Genomic DNA, 21,597 nt, shown 5'->3' with positions numbered 1-21,597 from the left:
TTCAGCCTGGGAGAAAAGCCTTCACAATTGTTAATAAAAGGAATCAGACCTTTTCAGAAAGAGTTATAAAACTGCGAGACAGATGAAAATAATCTCAGACAAGTGGATTTTCAATTCTCTTACCCTCAATCCCCCCAAATCCGCCCCCCCGCCACCACGCCACACACACACTCACATATACAGGATTCATTCCCTTCTTGAACGAATTAATTTATTCCAGAGTGCAAGGGTGACTTAACTCATGCTGGCTATATGCAAATGACAAGATGTAGCTGGTTCTTGTTTGTGAAAAAAGAACAAACCAGACCTCTATGATGTGGCATTACTAGACCAAATGAGGAGATGCTGTACCCGTCGTGCCCAGCCCAAAAGCTTTGGCCTTTCAGCTGCTGACCTCCCCATGGTGGTCCCAGAGACACTGAGCTGAAGTGATGCCTATCACTAGTTGAGTACCTTAAAATACTGCCATTGGTTCCAAGACCTTCTGTAGCAACTGTTTCCATATAAAGTGGATGCAAATGGATCAGCAGGACATTGTGTATGCATTGTTCATCAGTATAATGAAGTTGCATTATGGCTGGGCTTGGTGTGTATGTACATTCACTTGTCAAATAAGATCCTGCATGCAAAAGAGCTTTACCAACCCTACAGTGCTTTGTAAACTATAAAATGCCATAGACACAAGGATTTGCTATTATCAGAGTTGTGATTATGAATCCCTGAATGGCAGACATTACAGCAGGCAGTCCTGGGGTGCTCTCAGATGGAGCAAGTTGGGCTTGCAATCAGAAATGAGCTTGAGATTTACTGACTTTATTATAGGGAATAAATACTTGGAGACAGAGGGGGACCGTTTATGACTGTCGTTAATATCTTCCTTGGAAAATGCACATCGTGTTGCCTGCCACCTAGTGGCAGGAGAATAAATTTGCAATTCCCTTAAGTCCCTGAGAAAGGACTTACAGATCACTTACAGATCATTTCTGAGAAGGGCTGGCATTAGGAATGAGGAGCTGTGGGTGGAAGCCCACGGTGCAGTGAGTGAGTGAGACTGACTGTCATTGCTGCTTCTGCCAGCCCAGGGGCCTGACTTCAGGCCCCACCACAATTTTTTTTTTTTTTTTGGAGATGAAGTCTTGCTCTGTCGCCCAGGCTGGAGTGCAGTGATGTGATCTCGGCTCACTGCAACCTCCATCTCCAGGGTTCAAGTGATTCTCCTGCCTCAGCCTCCTGAGTAGCTGGGATTATAGGTGCGTGCCACCACGCCCAGCTAATTTTTGTATTTTTAGTAGAGACGAGGTTTCACCATGTTGGTCAGGCTGGTCTCGAACTCCTGACCTCGTGATCTGCCCACCTCGGCCTCCCAAAGTGCTGGGATTACATGCTTGAGCCACCGCGCCCGGCCAGGCCCCACCACAGTTTTAACCGGCATCTCCACTGTGTACATCTTGAGAGCCCTGTGGGCCGTTTAGACATTAAGTAAGAATAACAACAGAAATGATCTGGATGATGATTATAATATTAAGAAACATAAACAGTTATAGTCATAATACCAGATTGCTTCCCTGTTCCTTTTTGGGCTCTGATGAGTAAACAGACAAAGGACTGAAGAGGGAGAAGGAGGATGCCCAGGAGGTTGCAAACAGAATATAAAATCCTCCCCTCCCTTAACCCCTCACTCCGGGAGGTTGTGCTGAATGATAATCATACCTTTGGGGCACCTATAGCTTTTGAAGACAGGGGACCCACCTTCAGTGGTCTCAGTCCATCTTGACAAATATTTCACTTTAGGATGTCCTGTACTGCCAGTCTGGCACTGCCTTCTCTCCTGTATGGTAGACTCAGCACCTGCAGCATATCTGAGCTTCCCAGGAAGAGTTGGACAACCACTAATAAGAAATAAATATTTGGTCTTTCTCTCCTGTTCCTGGCAGAGAGCTTCTAAAACTCCTCAGTGATAAGGATAATAGGCACATCTTTTGTAATTCATAACAAGCCTCTTTCAACTATTCCTGAGTTTATGCTAATGAAATGACTATAGGTGGGCACCTAGATAGCTTCAGGATGGGGTGGATTTCCAGAGGAACCAACCATGTGATTAGAGATTTGGTTTTCAGCCCCATCCCTCAACCTCTAGGAGTGGAGGGGGGGATGGAGATTGAGCTCAATCACCAATAGCCAATAATTTAATCAATCATACCTACTTCATGGAACATCTGTGAAAGACCTAAATAATAATACTCTGAGAGCTTTCGAGTTGGTGAATACATCCACATACTGGGAGGGTGATGTGCCCCAACTCCTTGGGGGCAGAGAAACTCCTGTGCTCGGGACCCTCTGGACTTCACCCTATGTATCTCTTTATTTGGCTTTTCATTTGTATCCTTTATTCCTTTATAATAAACCAGTCAACGTAAGTAAATATTTCCCTCACTTTGTGAGCCATTCCAGCAAATTATCAAACTCTGCGTAGTTACTGTCTGACTTGAGTTGGGATGAAGGGCAACCAGTTGATGTCCAGATGCTTAGAGAATTGGATAGTGTCAGGAAAAAAAAAAAAAAAAAACACACAAATTTAGTGTCAGAAGCGTTGTAAGTAACAGCAGTTTACCATTGAAAGGCGACAACAACAACTGCAGATCTAGCATTTATTTAAATTTTTAAAAATCTTTTTAACTTAGTAATTTAAGGACAGTCAGCCCTCCATAGCCACAAGTTCTGCATCTGTGGATTCAACCAAACTTGGATCAAAAATATTTGTTTTAAACCCAATAAAATGATAATACTACAATTAAAAATAATACAAATTTAAAAATACAGTGTAACAGCTATTTACATAGCATTTATATTGCGTTATTATAAGTAACCTAGAAGTGATTTAAAGAATATGGGAGGTTGTGTGCAGATGCACCATTTTATTTGTTAGTTTATTTAAAGACAGGGTCTCACTCTGTTGCCCAGGCTGGAGTGCAGTGGTGTGATCATAGCTCACTGCAGCCTCAAACTCCTGGGCTTAAGCAATCCTCCCACCTCAGCCTTCTGAGTACCTAGGACCACAGGTGTGTGCCACCACACCTGGCTAATTTTTAATTTTTTGGTTGAGACTGGAGTCTTGCTATGTTGCCCAGGCTAGTCTCGAACTCCTGGAATCAAGTGATTCCTCCTGCCTCCACCTCCCAGAGTGCTAAGATTACAGGCATGAGCTACTGCACCTGTCTTACTGTGCTATTTTATTCCAGGGACTTGAGTGCTCAATCAGAATGTTGAAGTCACTGATAAGAGCTAGCATTTATTGAATACTTTCTATGTACTGGGCCCTCTACATCCTATCTCAGGTAACTTTCATAATGGTCATATGAGGTGAGGGCAGTTACTACTCCCATTTTACAGATGGAGAAATGGAGGATTCAAGAACTTTACAAGTTTGGTGAAGGTCACATAGCAAGTGATGGAAACAAAATCCAAATACAACTTGCACACACCTCACTCTTTGCACCTTATGGACTTCGTTTTGCTTGTACGCAATACCAAATATCGGAATCTTGGTGTAGAAAAGAACTTTTAAACTAGCCTAATTCAATTGCTCATCTCCAGACAGAAATTTTCTATGGCAGTGGTTCCCAGACTCTGGCCCTTTCTAACTGGTTGCATTAAAATCATTAAAAAACAAACAAAATCAAGCCAAACCAAACCAAACCAACTAACCAATCAAACAATAGCAGCAGCAGCAACAACAACAACAAAAAAGCAAGTTTGTGAGACACCTTCCCCTTCCCCTCCTGCCCTGACATTCTGATTCAGTGACTTTCCACTCAGGCCCGCAGATTCATACTAAAAAGCTTCCCCAGTGATTCCCAAGCCCAGCCAGGTGGGGAGCCTGTGCCCCGCAGCGCCTCTATAGCACTACAGAGGGGGTGGAGTAATACAGGGCTGGGGCAAGCAAGAGAGGGAGGAGTTGGGCTTGAATGATCTAGCAGCACGAAGGAGGAAAGATAAAAGAGAGCACAAGGTTAGGTTGTACAAGAGGCTGGCTTCAGAGACTGTCAGGTCCTTTTTTTTTTTTTTTAAAGGGAGTGTGAAACAGTAACATTCTTTTTTTGTTTGTTTGTTTTTTAAAATGAAACATCAAGCAGAGATACACAGCAACAGCAACGAGGGCCTTGCTTCTCTCCCACATACTGCCTAAGCAAATAAGGCTCATTGTTTAGGCCAAAGTTTAGTAAAGACTTAACTGATCTGATTTTTGTGCGTCCATTTTTAATTGATGGTGGAGAGCAGTGCAGCGGCAACGGTTTGCTGTAGTGCCCTTTACTCGCTTGCTAATCTCATGGGCACAGTGAACTACCGCTGCTTCTCGGAGGCTAGGTGGAGTAATAAAGCAATACAGGCAGCCTCGGGAAATGCCCGTGTGGGGTAGGGCTCTCTGAGATGCGAACGGGAAATCACATGCTTATTATCCTAGAAATGGGCTACCAGGGATGGGATGTCTTACAGCTGAGGGATCACTAATACAGTGTTGAAGAGGGAAAGCTTTGCCTTTGCTTTATTAATTAATGTGCATGAGCAAGAGGGAATTACAGGATAATGATTCCCCAATAACCCGATGAGGTCCAGATACTTATGTACACTTCTTCATAGGGGAAGGGGAGATGGAGGTTGTAAAAGTAAATCATTTTCATGGGAAAGGAATGACCCAAAGAACAAAGGCCTGGGACAGAGTTCCTCTGTGCTGTGGGGGAGATGGCAGGAAGGTGAGGGGTGGAACTTCACTGTGAACAAAAGTTTTGTTGTTATGCAGATAAAGCCTCACAAGTAATCTCTTAGAACTGTCCTCAGAAGAACAGATGAAAAATCTGCCTGGGCATGGCAATGACTCCTAGCGTCTTCTCTTCTCTAGAGATTAATATTTCCTGGTTATTTGATGAGATTCCTAGGAAGGGGGTCTTAAGACAATTGCATTTCTCCAGAGAAAATCTGTCCTGGTGCTTCAGGAAAGAAAGAGGATCAGAGACACAGGAGAGCAGGAAAGGATCAGAGAGAGATCTTGGTTCTAAGGATTATTTCTGAGGCCTTTCCATTGTTTAAAATTCAAAGCACTTGGCATGCCAGAGCACTGTATTTTGGGGCATCATTTTCTTGCCCTAATGCTAACTGCCATGATATGCAGTCCTCATGTCATACCTCTCTGTGGTTGGTAAATGATGCTGGCTCCCTGCTTGGCCTCTAGAAAGAGGTGAACTTTTGATTATTTGAGGACTTCAGTGTCTGTATGTAGCTAGTGTCTTTGCTTCCCATTAAAGTGAAAACATTTATCTGTCCAAATGAAGTCACCCTAGACTATTCTAAAACAAATGTCGTTTAGCTATTTTGTGTCTGATGTTTGTCTTCCTGTGAATTCTCTCTTATCTGAGGACTTTGTGGACTTCTTAAAAATCAATATAAGAGGCTGAAAGTTAGCACGTTACCCATAAGAGCTACATTAATAAGAGAAAGAGAGAGAAAGAAGTAGATGGAAAACAGTCCATCAGTTAGTGAAAATCTATGTGCCTTGCCCTGTGTTAGGTACTATTAGAATACAAAAAATAAAGACAGGCTTAACTTTCATGAAACTTACAGGTATTTCAGGATGCAATTCAGCAAAGAGGCTAAAAACATCAAGTGTAACCCAAAGAATCTGGGTCTAAATCTTGGCTCTGCCACTTAATGCATGACTAGTTACTTATACGCTCAGAACTTCATTTATCTTATCTACACACTAAAGATAAGAGAGACATCTTATTCATGAGAGTAAGGTGAACTTATATTGGATTTATTAGTACACCCAACATGACAACTCAAGTAAAAAATAGAGCAAAATGGTTATGTATGGACTCTTAATTTAATGTATGAAAATGAAAATTTGTGCATATAATAAATTATGACAAAAAGTAAAAAGTAACAATAATCTGATAGACGATTCTTAGTTCACATCACAAAAGCTTGTTTCCCAAGTATGTAAAGCATTCTTACAACTTAATAATAAAGTCATAATTTAAGTCATAATTTATATGAAGAGAGAATTCACATACACACATAAAAGAAATATAAATGACTCCCTTGAACATAGAAAAAGATACCCAGTTATATTCATAATAAGATATATCTAAGTGAAAACTAAATTGATGTTTGTTTTAAATGTTTGTTCAAAAGTTTGAAGACTATATGAGTAAGAATATGGTAAACAACTCTATCATACAGTGATGGTAAGTGATTTGGCAAAAATATATCAAAATTATAAACATATGTCTTTGACTCTGCAATTCTAGGAATTTATTCTACAGCTGTAGTCACAGAAATGATACATCTATATGGCAACATTGTCCATAATCAAAAGATTGTTAACGATCTAAATTTCCTCTAGTGGATGACTTTTAAATAAACTGTAGTACATCTGGAAAGTGTAATATAATATATTCATAAGTATTTTCTAAGATCTTATTAAGGATCTTAGAACTTTTTCTCTAAGATATCTTAAGTAGAAAAAATTAAGGGGTGTGTGTGTGTGTGTGTGTGTGTGTGTGTGTGTGTGTGTGTATTGTAAGGGCAGAAAAAGGGTGAAAACTCAAAGAAAGACCAGATAGTTGATGCTTAAATATCATCTTCACTGGGGAGATGTAAAGGGGGAAGCCGTAAATGAATGGGCCCAAAGATCAGGCAATGGTTTGTCAACGATTGAAGGACAAACAATAGTTTGTGGACAAGTTACAGGAAGGTGAAAGACAGAACAAATGTTGTCTTATTATGCAGATACAATCTCCCAGGTAATCTCTCAGAGCTTCTCTCAGAAGAATAGATGGAAAAGTCTACTTGTGCATAATGACAACTCCCAGTCTCCTCTCTTAATCTTTCCTGTTTCTTTGAGGAAATTCATAGAGAGAGGGTTTTAAGATAATTGTATTTCTTTTGGAAAGAAGTTTTCTTATTCAGATAAGAAAATTCCAAAGAAAGTCTCTTCTGGTGCCTCAGAAAAGAAGAGGATCAGAGAGAGGAGTCAGGGGGTCAGAAATAGAGTTTGTGGCTGCTGCTTTAAGCCAGCATGTCAAAGCAACATATTTTAGGGCATTGTTTTCTGAGCCCCAACAATACTATATATACACATATGTATATAGCATGTATATGTTTTGCCATATGTTATATTTTGTGTGAAAATAGAAAAAAATTGCTTGTTTTTGCATAGAATATCTGAAATGTACGTAAGAAACTGGTAACATTGGTTGTCTTCAAGGAGAGTTGTGGGATGGTTAGCAGAAAGGGTTGGGAAAAAAAATTCATTGTATACTTTTGGATTTTGTGAGGGTAAAGTTTCTAAAGTCAAATGACACAATGGTCAATGTATATTGTATTTTCCTTTTGGAAAGATTTTTATGAGTGTTGTAGCATATGTACTCATTAATTTGGGGATAAATATGTATGGAGTGCTACTCTGTGCCAGACATTATTTTGTGATAGCTTATGCATGTATGGCACTTTTGTTACAGACCAGAAGAAACCAGAGGGTTCTTATGGCCTGTTGCACAGAAGAAGCCAATACACTGAGACAGCAGGTGTTGCAGTAGGGAAAGAGTTTAATATTTGTGGGGCACAGAGTGAGGAAGATGAGAAATATTTCTCAAATCCACCTTCCTGAGAACTCAGAGGCTAGGTTTTTAAGTATAATTTGGTAAGCAGGGGGCTAGGGAATGGGTGCTGCTGATTGGCTGGGTATGAACTCATAGGAATGTCAAAACTGTCTTCATGTGCTGAATCAGTTTCTGGGTGGGAGGTTACAGGACCAATTAAGTCAGTTCCTTGGTATGAGTGGGTACAGGTGGTGTCAGTTGGACCACTAGAATGCAAAAGTCTAAAAAGTATCTGAAAGATCAGTGTTGGGTTTTACAATAGTGATGTTATCTATAGGAGCAATTGGGGAAGTTACAAATCTTGTGACCTCCAGCAACATGACTCCTGAGCAGTAAGCAATTATCAAAAAGCAAGCTAGGGAACAATGGCTGGTTATTGTTTAATTATGCCTATGTCTTAGCAGAATTCAGACCCCTGTTATAATCCTAATTTTGTGGCCTTTCACAAAGTCTTACAAAGGCAGGTTCAGTCCCTTGAGGGACTCAGTTTTGCGAAGTGCCTATTATTCTTATTTCAGCATTAAGCTATAGGTCAAGTGTGGTGGCTCACATCTATAATCCCAGCACTTTTGGAGGCTGAGATGGGAGGATAACTTGAGGTCAGGAGTTCAAGACCAGCCAGAGCAACATAGTGAGACCCTGTCTCTACAAAAAATTTAAAAATTAGCTGGAAGTGGAAGCACATGCCTGTAGTTCCAGCTACTCAAGAGGCTGAGGAAGGAGAATGGCGTGAATCAGGGAGGCAGAGCTTGCAGTGAGCCGAGATCCCGCCACTGCACTCCAGCCTGGGTGACAGAGCTCAAAAAAATAAAAAAGTAAATGAGGAACAGATAAGCAAGAAAATAGTAACAACAATCTCCCAAGCAAGCCAGAGTCATAAGTTGTTTTGGCTCCTTATAGAAACTAAAAGACAACATCTTAGCATATGTTCTTGAGTTGTTTTACAGAAACTCCCATCAGCTGGAAAATGCCCACTGCTATCACATAGACCTTAGATAAGGGGGAATGGAAAACTAAATTCTGACTGTGGTTCTTATTTTAAATTTCTTCCTGAAGGGCCTGGAGAGAGTCATACCTATGGGCCAAACCAATATATAGCCTCCATGAGTTGGTTTACAATTTTGACGGCAACTTCTGCTCTCCTGAAACCGTTGCTTGTAAGCTGTTAGGTAGTTCAGGTCTCAAGCGTTAACTGCTCATTCTTCTTGCTTAATGCCATGCAATAAATCTCCTTTTCTCCACTGCAAATCTCAAGCATCTGTGTCTGGGTTTACTGCACCAGACAACTGGATCCTAGTTCCGTTCAGTAATATGATACAGCATGCCAGGGAGCCTGAGACATTCTGCAGTAAAGATACCTGTTTCACTTTATTTAACCCAGGGTTTTCCTAATTTATTGACTATATAATCTTTTAACTGAATTTAATTTAGTATTTAAAAAATTTTTTTGCTGGGCGCAGTGGCTAATGCCTGTAATCCCAACACTTTGGGAGGCTGAGGCGGGCAGATCACGAGGTCAGGAGTTCAAGACCAGCTTGGCCAACATGGTGAAAGCCAATCTCTCCTAAAAATACAAAAATCACGGGCCGGGCGCGGTGGCTCACGCCTGTAATCCCAGCACTTTGGGAGGCCGAGGCGGGCGGATCACGAGGTCAGGAGATTGAGACCATCCCGGCTAAAAAAAACGGTGAAACCCCGTCTCTACTAAAAATACAAAAAATTAGCCGGGCGTAGTGGCGGGCGCCTGTAGTCCCAGCTACTTGGGAGGCTGAGGCAGGAGAATGGCGTGAACCCGGGAGGCGGAGCTTGCAGTGAGCCGAGATCCCGCCACTGCACTCCAGCCTGGGCGACAGAGCGAGACTCCGTCTCAAAAAAAAAAAATAAATAAATAAAAATAAAAAAAAATAAATAAAAATAAAAATACAAAAATCAGCTGGGCGTGGTGGCAGGCACCTGTAGTCCCAGCTACTCAGGAGGCAGAAGCAGAAGAATCGCTTGAACCCAGGAGGCAGAGGTTGCAGTGAGCTGACATTGCACCACTGCACTCTAGCCTGGGCAACAGAGCTAGACCCCGTCTCAAAAAAAAAAAAAAAATTCACCTTATACCCCCACCATCCTATGGAACTAGAGTTGTAACAAACTCACTGGGAAACTCTGATCTAAATGAATCCCCTTATACTAAAGATGAGGAAGCTGAGGCCCAGAGAGGGCATGGGGCTTGGTCAATGTCATAGATGACCAGCTGGTGGGTGCCAAGATCAGATCTCATATCCCTTAGTTCCCCTCCACCATTCTCTCTAATATGCCAGTAGTAACGAAGGCATTTGCTAACTTATTTTATATTCATTCACATATTTCTGCCGTTAGAGAGACTTCATCAAGAACCAGGTAGTGTTTGGTTGTGCTTTATAGGAGATAAGGATTTTATTTTGTATTGTCCAATTATTTGCAGATTTTTTTTTATCCTTTAGTAAGACTTTTCCTTTTAAAGCTTTTTCTCCTCCTCCTTCTTCTTCTTTTTCTTATTTTCAATTCACATAGACCTTAGATAAGGGGGAATTGAAAACTAAATTCTGACTGTGGTTCTTGTTTTAAATTTCTTCCTGAAGGGCCTGGAGAGAGTCATACCTCTCTCCAGTCATACATGTACCACTGTTTTCTGAAATGCAAGTCAATGTTATACTTGATACCATCTTAAGAACTAAAGGATTCACTTCCAAAATAATAGGTTCCATTAAACAACAAATGTATCTATTAAGGAAAGAGTACAATATTTGCATCTAAAACTAGTGCTTTGTCTTATTTTGTGTGTATGTGTTGGGGTGGAGAGCAGAAATACAGGCAAGTGTTTATAGAATGTTAAATTCATTCACTGTTAAAAGGATACACATAGACACTGTGCCTAGGGCTCTTTAGGTTGTAGAGATAGTGACATTTTAAAAGCATTTGTCTTAAATTTTGCCTTAGAGTAAAATCTCTTCACAGCCCTTTGTTTCTCATCAAAAAGGTGAACTTTAGGCTTTTCTTACTGCATTTATATCAACTTTTTGACTGAAACGATGATTTTCTCGACTGTATTTCATGATTTTTCATGTTTGTATTGACCAACTCAAGCAACTGTTTTGGATTCACCTGAACACAGGGTCAAAATGCTGATGCAGCTGAAGAACTGTAGAAATTAATTCTGAAGATGGTGGCGAAAAGAATAAGAGTCTAAGCTGGAATTCGTGCTTGGTGGGCTAAAACTGATCAATTTCCTGGTCCCTAATTAAAACAAGCCACCAAACACAACAGCAGCAGAAAATCCAGGGCTTTTTCTGGTGATGAATGCAACCAGCCTGCAAATTTCTCCTTGCTGGGAACAGAGATTTCATGTGCACAGCAGTTAAACAGAAAGCGTACTGGCAATTTATGTTTGGTAATATGTATCTACTCACCGCTCAGACCCTGCCCCTACCTACCTTCATCCCAAGCCTAGGCCCCCAATGAAATTAAACCAATGAAACTAGAGAGGAAGTTTTCTTCTTTTACATGTGCATCTTTGAAGGAGCTCCTTCCTGCCTATTGAAAGGGTAAACAAATATGGCAGGATATCTAATCTTTTATATTACTCGAGTTGTGAAAATCTGTATGTGAACCATCTGCTTTTAAATTGAATCCTAGCATTCCATCAATTAGCACTATAATTTCAGACGTAATGTAGGTTAACTCCTGATTGATCTTCAATTAACACTAGTTCTTAACCATTTGCTTTATTTTAAATTCATTTTTCCCCTCCCAGATAGACAGGGAAGTTGCAGAATGACTTTCTTGCTTTTGAAATGCTGATAGCTCTTTAGGATGAAAGAATTCACATTCTTCCCCCCCTCCCTTTATACTTGAGTTAGTGAAAACTCAGGTAATGTAAAATCAGTATAATTTTGTATTCCAAAAGAACATCAAGGAAATTGCTAGGAAGACCTCATCATATGCATTTGTGCTTTTCTTAATTAGAATTTAGAATTGGGAGTTTTTTACAAAATAAGTAAAAAATTGCTACAAGAATTCCAAATATGGCCTCACATTAAGCCTCATAAAACTTATGGAATTTGGAGATTATTTGGCTCCTTTGCTAAGGCATAAACACTCAGGGTTAAAAGAGGTCTCAGACTTCCATCCCATACCTGCCCAAGGCAGGCATGCCCACCAGAGCATCCCTGCCAGATGGTCAGGGTACTTTTCTTCCTTGCCATCATTGGACAAAAGAACAGAGCCTACCTCGATGAGGTTCTGACAATGAAATTCTGGCAGCTGAGTAATGCTCACCGTTTGACATAATGCAGATACTTCCTTTGAAGTCTAGAGTGATATATAATATTGATAATTTCTATATGGTATATAATAGTACATAATTGTGATAAATTATTCTGCTCTCCTTTTATAATTTTGATTTATAAAATATTTATTATATCTTTAAACATGTAATTTTACCACATAAAAGGCTGTTTTTTCTTCAGAAAAAATATAACTGGTTTTATAATGGTTTTCATTACTGAAATAGATTCACTTAACAATCATTTCTTGTATGGTCAGTTTACTGGAAGCTTTTTATATCATTGAGCAAGGGATAGTTTTTTAATGAAAAATATACAACTTTTCCTCCTTATTATCTTCTTTTTAAAAATTATTATATGCATCACTGCTTTTTTATTAGCATGCTGTTTTGAAAGTAGAATCACAGGGTCAATGTACTAGTTAGGCCAAGTAATGCTTTCTGATATAATGAACAGACTCAAAATCTTAGTGGCTTAATACCATAAAAGTTTATTTCTCGCTCATGTCACAGACCAAAGTCCATGTTTTTCCCTGGATGGTGTCCCATATTATAGCCCACTGTCCTCCAGGAACTTGAAATCTTTTTCATTCAGCTAGCATATGAGGAAAAAAAAAAGGAGGATGAAGTGTGGGAGTTTTTAAGAGCCTAAACAAATTCATTGTTTCTTTATATATGGCTTTTTACACATGGATTAGAATTCAATTACTGGTCATAGCTAACTGCAAGGCTGGCTGGGATGTACAGTCTAGACATAGGCTTAGGGGGAAAAAACAGGGCTGTGAGCCTCAACATGGCTCTGCCATAGTTGTTGTTAGTGTCTGTTTAGCCTCTGCACCCTGGAGACCTATCTGTCCAGAATAGTTTCTAGAATTGCTATTGTATGTGTGCTGTTGAACTTCACTGGAAAATGAATGAAGAGGAATGCAAGAATTTTAAGTGACCCGAATTCCTGGGTATACACACGGATACACAGGATACCCAGGGCTCCCCTCTGCCATGACCCCTGAGGGCGCTCTCTATGAACCAAGGAGTCCAGAAAGGAAAATCGCTGGAGGTTAGGCTTTGAATAACTCTAAGCCTTGTTCCCTTTCCCACAAAGAACTGCACAAGACCGTTGATGACACTAGAGGGCGCAGCAGGCGCCGTGCAGGAGACCACCCCCTACAAGAGTGGTGACAGCAGCAGTTAGCAGTGTTGTGAGTGGCGCCAAAGACCGTAGGTTCCTGGCAAGCTTGCCATTCCTGGCGAGACCAGCCTCCCTGAAAAGAGGGATTAAAAGCCTTCTTAAAAGAAGACTTGAAGACCCATAAACTTGGGCTGGCGTCCTTACTCAACCTCACCCATATAGAGTGAAAAATGTGGCCAAAGAAATTGGGCCTCACAGTAAGGGGTTGCCTTAATTGAGTAGATTTCTAATAGCATTTTACGGGCAGAATCTATTTCGGCTTCTTGGCTACCTTGCTAAACTATGGAGACACATTCTTTCCTGTTTGTTAGTTTTCCATCCCAGCATACATAAGAGGCTGTACATATTTGAATACCAGCTGATACTCTCTGAAATTAATTAGATGTGATTCATAGGCTAGTTTTCCTCTCCTCAAGTCAACTTTCTCACCCGTGGACTTACTACCTATTTTGTCCTACCATTTGGTGGGTAGATGTATTACGATGTCCTATCTTCTGGGCTAAAGACGGGGTGGTGCTTATTTTTGTTTATTTTTTATTTGCAACTTTATTTTTTTATTGTGGCAAGATAGACATATCTGTCATTGTAACCACTTGTAAGTGTACAGTTCACTGGCATTAAATACATGCTGTGTAACCATCAGTACTCTCTATGCAGATGAGTGATTCTTGCACAATTCTTAAAACATGGAGCTAGCAAGTTAGTTACAGTGAAGTCATTTCCATGTTTACTATGGAGCTGTGCACCAGTTGCCAGTTATGGTAAATGTCACCGTGACCTGTGCTATGGAGACCCTATGGAAAACCTGCTTCCCCAGGACCAGAGAATCTTAGCATCTGGTCTCTACTATTCCACTACCCCGCTGAGCAATTTCAACCATTAGCAAACCGAGTGAGAATAATATACTCACTTTTGATTACTGATATATAACCTGTGGATGATCTTATATTTTAATTTCTTGGATAAATTCTAGTTATTATCAAGAATATTCTAGGCTATGAAAACTTTACCCAACTTTCCCTGCAACCCAATCAGCATTCTCTCATTGGGGCTATAAATGAGTGAAATAGACCCAGAAGGAAAACGTTCTGCCAAATAAGATATAATACTGCATTCCTTCACTTACTTGGATGTGTATTGATAAGGGTTTCTCAGGGAAGTTCCTTTCTGGTGAAACTTGGGCCTTGAAATTACTTTTTCCAATTTCCAAATTCTACTCTAAGTTAAAGCTTGTGGATTTTAACTTATAACAACAGCAACGACAATAACACTAGACAGCATTTAATGAGTTTTTACTGTATGCCAAGCACTATTCTAATCTCATTTAATCATCATAGTAACATTAAGAAGCAGATGCTATTATCTATCTATCTATCTATCTATCTATCTATCTATCATCTATCATCTATCTATCTATCTATATTTTTGAGACAGAGTCTTGCTCTGCCATCCAGGCTGGAATGCAGTGGCGCGATCTTGACTCACTGCAACCTCCACCTCCCAGGTTCAAGTGATTCTCATGCCTCAGCCTTCCAAGTAGCAGGGATTACAGGCAGCTGCCACCATGCCTGGCTAATTTTTTTAAGTAGAGATGGGTTTCACCATGTTGGCTAGGCTGGTCTCAAACTCCTGACCTCAAGTGAGCCGCCCATCTCAGCTTCCCAAAGTGCTGGGATTACAGGCATGAGCTGCCACACCTGGCCTCTTTTCAGTATTTTTAAGTGAAAAAACCAAGGCACAAAGTGATTCATTCAACTGTAAGAAAGAGTTGTATTTGAATTTAGGTGCAAATGTTATATTAGATTTGGAAAGATGTGACTGGTTTTAGGGATGTAATTTGAAAGAAGCAGTGCATTCTTGGCATGAGGTCCAGCACTTGAATATCTAGCCACACCTCCTAAGGGCCATGCTTACTTCCAAGTGGCCGCTTCTCTCTGGGGGATCCTAGCACACTTGTCCATGCTAAAACCAGCAACAGGATTGATGACCTTTCTGACCAAAATGGGACTCGGTACTTTTTCATAAAACACATGCTGCTAGGACAATGTCTGTTCATCTGTATTCTTGCATGGTCCTCACACTGTTTGGCACTGTGAGAGCTATCACTCTGGACCAGGGATGCTGCCCTTTCCTCCCTTTGGGTGCTGGCAGATTAGGGGTGGCATGGAGGCTTACTCTTGTTTTACTGATGTCTAGTGAATCTATGTAAGCCTCCTGTGAAATGGCTTATTTGGTTAAAGGAAAATCTCTGCCCATAATTCTTCCCTTAATGTTTAGGTAAGAGCCTTTAACAGGACCAAAGCAACAATAAGCCAAACTCAATGAAACGTAGCCAAGAATAAGGAAGCAAGTACAAGAGACCCTCAATATGAAAAGAGATGTTACTAACTGAATTCAACAGTTAGGAAGAAGAGATTAACTGGGCAAAACACCAAGCCCTACAGAGAAGGCCTTGGAGTCTCAGGAATGTGTATGGCACATTTTCCTTGGCATGGTCAGTTGAGCGTTGGCTCTGCTTGCTTCTGTAGGATGACAAGATGAAGGGAGGCAAGAAGAGAGATATGGCTACTCTATTAAAACCATGTTGGCTTTACTGTTCATGTAGCAAAACCAGTCTCTTTAACACTGTTTAACATAGTCTAATTGTCCTTCAGATCCTCTGCTTTAGAGGTCAATATTAGAGAAACCTGTAGTACTTGCTCTTCCTCCAACAAATGACTCAATTATGAGAACTAAAAATAAAATTTTAAGCCTCCAAGCCAACTGAATGGACCCCCCACTTGGCCAAGGGGACCTTGGAGAAACCTTGGAAGCTGAGTTCCTGGCCATGACAAGATGGGGGATCTGACATGCCTTGTCATACCTCCTCCCTCGCTAACTGCCATTAGGCTTTCTTCCCAAAGGGTTCAACAGAAACCAGCTCTTTCGAAAGACTCCACCCCTGATATCCACCAGCCACCTGACACTGCCCCTGTCTTTTGTGGTTTCAGCACAACTAACCAGCACTCCTTCCTGATAAGAGACTACTGACCATGGAGTGGTTTTGGCAAGTCTGTGGAGGATGTGCAGTGAGGGTTTTCATGTCCTCTGCTTCACCTTTTGATATTAGAGGCCCAAAAATTCCACCGTTGGATCTTGCTTGCCACCATTTTTTTGAACATGGGACCCATGAAGGAGCATGAAGTTCGTGCATATTTCTCCTTTCATAAATATTCATGACTTCTCCTATAACATATAATATCAAGCAGAATGGCTTTATATATATTTATATAAATTGCTTTATATATACTTATAGATATATAATATATATTTATATACATATAATATATATATACATGCACATATCTCTAAATAAAATATATAAAACCACTCTGCTTTATATATTATAAATTTCTATTCCATTTATCCTTCCCTCAAAGTGTCTGTTTCTGGCTTCTGTCCAAAGGCTATGCTTTCCAGCCTATCACATTGGCCACCCTGCAGACTAACCATTTATGAGAAATGAAGCTCTCCTTCCTAAATTTACGAACCCATCATTCTTCAATTGACAGTTATAAGACTAAATCTGTTTCTCTTTTGTCACCCATGATGGAGACCTCCACCTTCCCCTTTTTTTGTCTGGTCAATACCTTTTTTCCGCTTACAGGTGAGTATCTGTATGTTCAGTTCTCAGTTTGACTTGAAACACTTTCCCCAATTCCTTTTTTCCCAAGAGTCAGCCAAAAGTTGAGTAAGAAACGAATTCACTGGAGATTAGTCTTGCAATTTGCAGGGAGTTGGGTTAAGAAATCCAGATTTAAATATTTCCTAATGAGTGGCTTTAAAGTAAATAATTACCTCTGACAGGGTGTCTGTTACCCAGAGGACATCACGAGCGAATCAGATGGGGTTGCTCTTGGGTGCCTTGGGAAGAATTTGGCCTTTCCAACGAAAGTGCCTGCCTTTGATCTCTAATATATAGGAATGCGAGATAGAGAAGGCTGAGGGGTAATTCATCTCCCACTGTGCCTATCACAGTGCCTTAACCATACTGGACACTTAATTTATGAATTTTTGAGTGAGCTGATGAAAGCTAGCCTGCAGGTGTGGGAGTAGAAGAAAAAGAAAATTACCTAGGAGGGGTGGAATACAGAAAGGGTGGTTTTTCTATTTTAAGACACTGAAATGCTTGAGAGGGGCCTGGGTTAGTGCATTTTGATTTCTGGGGAGATGAAACACCATGTGTTGGACAAGAGAGGAGGGACCCCAGGAAAGCACAGTTAACCTCTGAGTCTGTAAAGGATGTTGCAAGAATGTGTGGGGGTAAGAAGTGCAGAATTTGTGTCTTCCTCAAATCCCATTAGTGGAGAATGAGAGCATTTTCACAGCCATATTTTTTAAAAAGTGAATGGCAAGAAACAGGATTTTTCTTTCCCTCTCCCAAGGGGGCTGAGTGAGGGGCCCTAAACCAGCACATCCAGAATAATGGTGCAAGAGCAATTATGAGACCTTTCACTAAGGACTGATTTGTCTGCAGAAAGGGGGAAATCATCAGGTATCCATTGTGAGAAGACTCGCCTCTTCTTAACAATGGCTCTGATGAAACTGCTAGAAGGTTCTTATCAGAAAAAAAAGCCTCCCAGCAGCAGGAGAAGGGAAGAGGGACGAGAAATAATAGGCTACAAAACCCCAAATCATCCTCAAGGCTCACCGCAGGGGAGGCAGTGAGGGGGGAGACATGCTTCCTGAATGCCAAGTGATGTTGGCTGGTCAGTCAAAATGAGCCTCTAAAGAGACATATTAAAAGAGAGGAGAGAGAGAGGGCCAGCTCTCCTCAGGCAGCTTTTAGCAGCAAGTGCCAGGCTGGCTGGATTTAAGCTATGGAATTCTAAGTTTCTCAGGCTCAAGTAAATAGCTAGAGGTCACAAAAGCTTATCCTCTGGCCTCCATCTGGGGATTTTCTAGACCCAGGTCACACCTTTAGCTGGATTCTGGGAGGAAAAATGAAATTCACAGCCAGCAGAGTCTTGATAGGACTCTAGGCCCATTTTTGCAGATCACAGCTTCAGAAACAATGAGTGCAATAGAAGGGAGAAGAGGGAATTAATTTTGCACCTACTAAATTTAGTTAGATACTTCACTGCTTTGGACTCATTTAATTTTTGTCATTTCCCAAGATGTGAGTATCATTTACCACATGATTAATGGACTCTGATGAAAACTCCAATCATATTGCCCCCTGTTCAAAATGTCTCATTGGCTCTTTCAAATTGAGTTAATCTCCATCCCCAACATTTAAAGCATCCACAATATGGCCACAACCCACCCCTGCTGCTTTTTCTCCCACTACTTAAATACATGTATCTCTTGCTTTAGTGCAATTGAAGTTGACTCCTTGATGTTCTCCAAGCAAGACTTCATTTCTCCATCTCCATCCTTGATTAATGTTATTCCCTCCACCTGACAGATTGTCTTGACATATCCTCTTGCTCTGCTCCCTCCACTTGTTGAAATTCCACTCATCTTTTAAAGTCATGTGAATTCTCCTTCATGAAGTCTTATTTTTTTAAATTTATTTTTCATTTCAATAGGTTCTCAGAGAACAAGTGGTACTTGGTTACATGAATAAGGTCTTTAGGGGTGATTTCTGAGATTTTGGTGCACCTGTCACCCAAGCAGTATACACTGTATTCGATGTGTAATCTTTTATCCCTCACCCCCCTTCCACCCTTTCCCCTAAGTCATCACCAAAGTCCATTGTATCATTCTTATGCCTTTGTGTCCTCATAGCTTAGCTCCCACTTATGAGTGAGATCACACGATGTTTGGTTTTCCATTCCTGAGTTACTTCACTTAGAATAATAGTCTCCAATTCCATTCAGGTTGCTGCAAATGTCATTATTTTGTTCCTTTTTGTGGCTGAGTAGTATTCTGTAGTATAGATATAGATATAGATATCACATTTTCTTTATCCACTTGTTGAGGGATGGGCATTTGGGCTGGTTCTATATTTTTGTAATTGCAAATTGTGCTGCTTTGGACTCATTTAATTTTTATCACTTCCCAAGGTGTGAGTATCATTTACTGCATGATTAATGAACTCTGATAAAAACTCCAATCATATTGTCCCCTGTTCAAAATGTCTCATTGGCTCTTTTAAATTGAGTTAATCTCCATCCCCAGCATTTAAAGCATCCACAACATGGCCACAACCCACCCTTGCTTCTTTTCCTCTGGGTAGATACCTAATAGCAGGATTGCTGGATCAAATGGTAGATATATTTTTAGTTATTTAAGGAATATCCACACTGTTTTCTATAGTGCTTGTACTAGTTTACATTCCCACCAACAGTGTAAAAGTGTTCCCTTTTTACCACATCCACACCAACTGTATTAGTCCATTTTCATGCTGCTAAAAGGAAGTGCCCAAGACTGAGTAATTTAAAAAGGAAAGAGGTATAATTGACTCACAGTTCCACAGGGCTCAGGAAACTTACAATCTTGGCAGAAGGGGAAGCAAACATGTCCTTCACAAGGAAGCAAGGAGGAGAAGTGCAGAGCAAAGCAGGGAAGAGCACTTTATAAAACCATCAGATCTTGTAAGAACTCACTCACTATCACAAGATCAGCATGAGGGAACCACCCCCATGATCCAGTCACCTCTCACAAGGTTCCTACCCCAACACATGGGGATTACAATTTGGGTTACAATTCAAGATAAGATTTGGGTGGGGACATGTGAGCCAGACTATATCATTCTGCTCCTGGCCCTTCCAAAATCTCATCTTTCTAACATTTCAAAACACAATTATGCCTTCCCAACAGTTCCCTAGTCTTAACTCATTTCAGCATTAACCCAAAAGTCCAAGTCTATAGTCTTATCTGAGACAAGGCAAGTCTCTTCTGCCTATGCGCCTGTAAAATCAAAGGCAAGTTAGTTACTTCCTAGATACAATGGAGGTATAGGCATTGGGTAAATACAGCTGTTCCAGGTGGGAGAAAGTGGCCAAAACAAAGGGGCTACAGGCCTTACGCAAGTCCAAAATCCAGCAAGGCAATCATTAAATCTTAAAGCTCCAAAATAATCTCCTTTGATTCCATGTCTCATATCCAGGGCATGCTGATACAAGGGGTGGGTTCCCACGGCCTTGGGCAGCTCCACTCCTGTGGTTTTGCAGAATATAGCCCCCTCTGGCTGCTTTCATGGCTGGTATTGTCTACAGCTTTTCCAGGCACACGATGCAAACTGTTGGTGGATCTACCATTCTGGGTTCTGGAGGATGGTGTCTCTCTTCTCACATTTCCACTAGACAGTGCCCCAGTGGGGACTCTGTGTTGGGGCTTGGACCCCACATTTCACTTCTGCACTGTTGTTCTCCATGAGGGCTGCACCCCTGCCACAGACTTCTGTCTGGACATTCAGGCATTTCCATACATCCCCTGAAATCTAGGCAGAAGTTCCCAAACCTCAATTCTTGTCTTCTGCATACCTGTAGGACTGACACCACATAGAAGCTGTCAAGACTTGGGGCTTGCACCCTCTGAAACAATGGCCTGAGCTGTACCTTGGCCCCTTTTAGACAAGGCTGGAGCAGCTGGAATGCAGGGCACGAAGTCCCAAGGCTGCACACATCAGGGGGCCCTAGACCCTGCCCAGGAAACCATTTTTTCCCTACTAGGTCTCTGGGCCTGTGATGGGAAGAGCTGCCATGAAGGTCTCTGACATGCCCTCGAGACATTTTCCACATTGTCTTGGCAGTTAGCATTCAGCTCTTCATTACTTACGCAAATTTCTGCAGCTACTTTGAATTTCTCCCCAGAAAATGGACTTTTCTTTTCTTTTGCATTGTCAGGCTGCAAACTTTCCAAACTTTTATGCTCTGTCACCTCTTGAATGCTTTGCTGCTTAGAAATTTCTTCTGCCACATACCCTAAGTCGTCTCTCTTAAGTCCAAAGTTCCACAGATCTCAAGGGGGGGCAAAAAGCCACCATTGTCTTCAGTAAAGCATAGCAAGAGTCATCTTTATTCCAGTTCCCAACAAGTTCCTTATCTCCATCTGAGACCACCTCAGCCTGGGCTTTATTGTCCATATCCCTATCAGCATTTTGGTCAAAGCCATTCAGTAAGTCTCTAGGAAGTTCCAAACTTTCCCACATTTTCCTGTCTTCTTCAGAGCCCTCCAAACAGTTCCAACCTCTTCCTTTGGAACTTACCCAGTTCCAAAGTTGCTTCCACATTTTTGGGTATCCTTAGAGCAGTGCCCTGCCCCTTCAGTACCAATTTACTGTATTGGTCCATTGTTACACCACTGTAAGCAACTTCCCAAGACTGGATAACTTATAAAGGAAAGAGGTTTAACTGACTCACAATTCCACAGGGTTGGGGATGCCTCAGGAAACTGACAATCATGGCAGAAGGGGAAGCAAACACATTCTTCTTCACAAGGCGGCAGGAAGG

The 21,597-nt window shown here is 41.1% G+C and overlaps 3 annotated features.

The window, feature by feature from the left end:
- Positions 847-1,346: an enhancer, noted in NCBI's record as "H3K4me1 hESC enhancer chr1:209375923-209376422 (GRCh37/hg19 assembly coordinates)". NCBI's record gives its function as "activates a minimal SCP1, AML or CMV promoter by ChIP-STARR-seq in primed H9 embryonic stem cells {active_cell/tissue: H9 hESC(primed)}" and the evidence as "EXISTENCE:reporter gene assay evidence [ECO:0000049][PMID:30033119]".
- Positions 3,344-4,282: an enhancer, noted in NCBI's record as "NANOG-H3K27ac-H3K4me1 hESC enhancer chr1:209372987-209373925 (GRCh37/hg19 assembly coordinates)". NCBI's record gives its function as "activates a minimal SCP1, AML or CMV promoter by ChIP-STARR-seq in naive H9 embryonic stem cells {active_cell/tissue: H9 hESC(naive)}" and the evidence as "EXISTENCE:reporter gene assay evidence [ECO:0000049][PMID:30033119]".
- Positions 13,220-13,329: an enhancer, noted in NCBI's record as "active region_2466". NCBI's record gives its function as "activates an Ori minimal core promoter by ATAC-STARR-seq in GM12878 lymphoblastoid cells {active_cell/tissue: GM12878}" and the evidence as "EXISTENCE:reporter gene assay evidence [ECO:0000049][PMID:35858748]".

The sequence above is a fragment of the Homo sapiens genome, chromosome 1 (genome assembly GCF_000001405.40).
Source record: "Homo sapiens chromosome 1, GRCh38.p14 Primary Assembly".
In the NCBI taxonomy this organism is placed as follows: domain Eukaryota; kingdom Metazoa; phylum Chordata; class Mammalia; order Primates; family Hominidae; genus Homo; species Homo sapiens.
The sequence above is the reverse complement of the archived record's forward strand: the minus strand, read 5'-3'. Positions and strand labels throughout refer to the sequence as shown.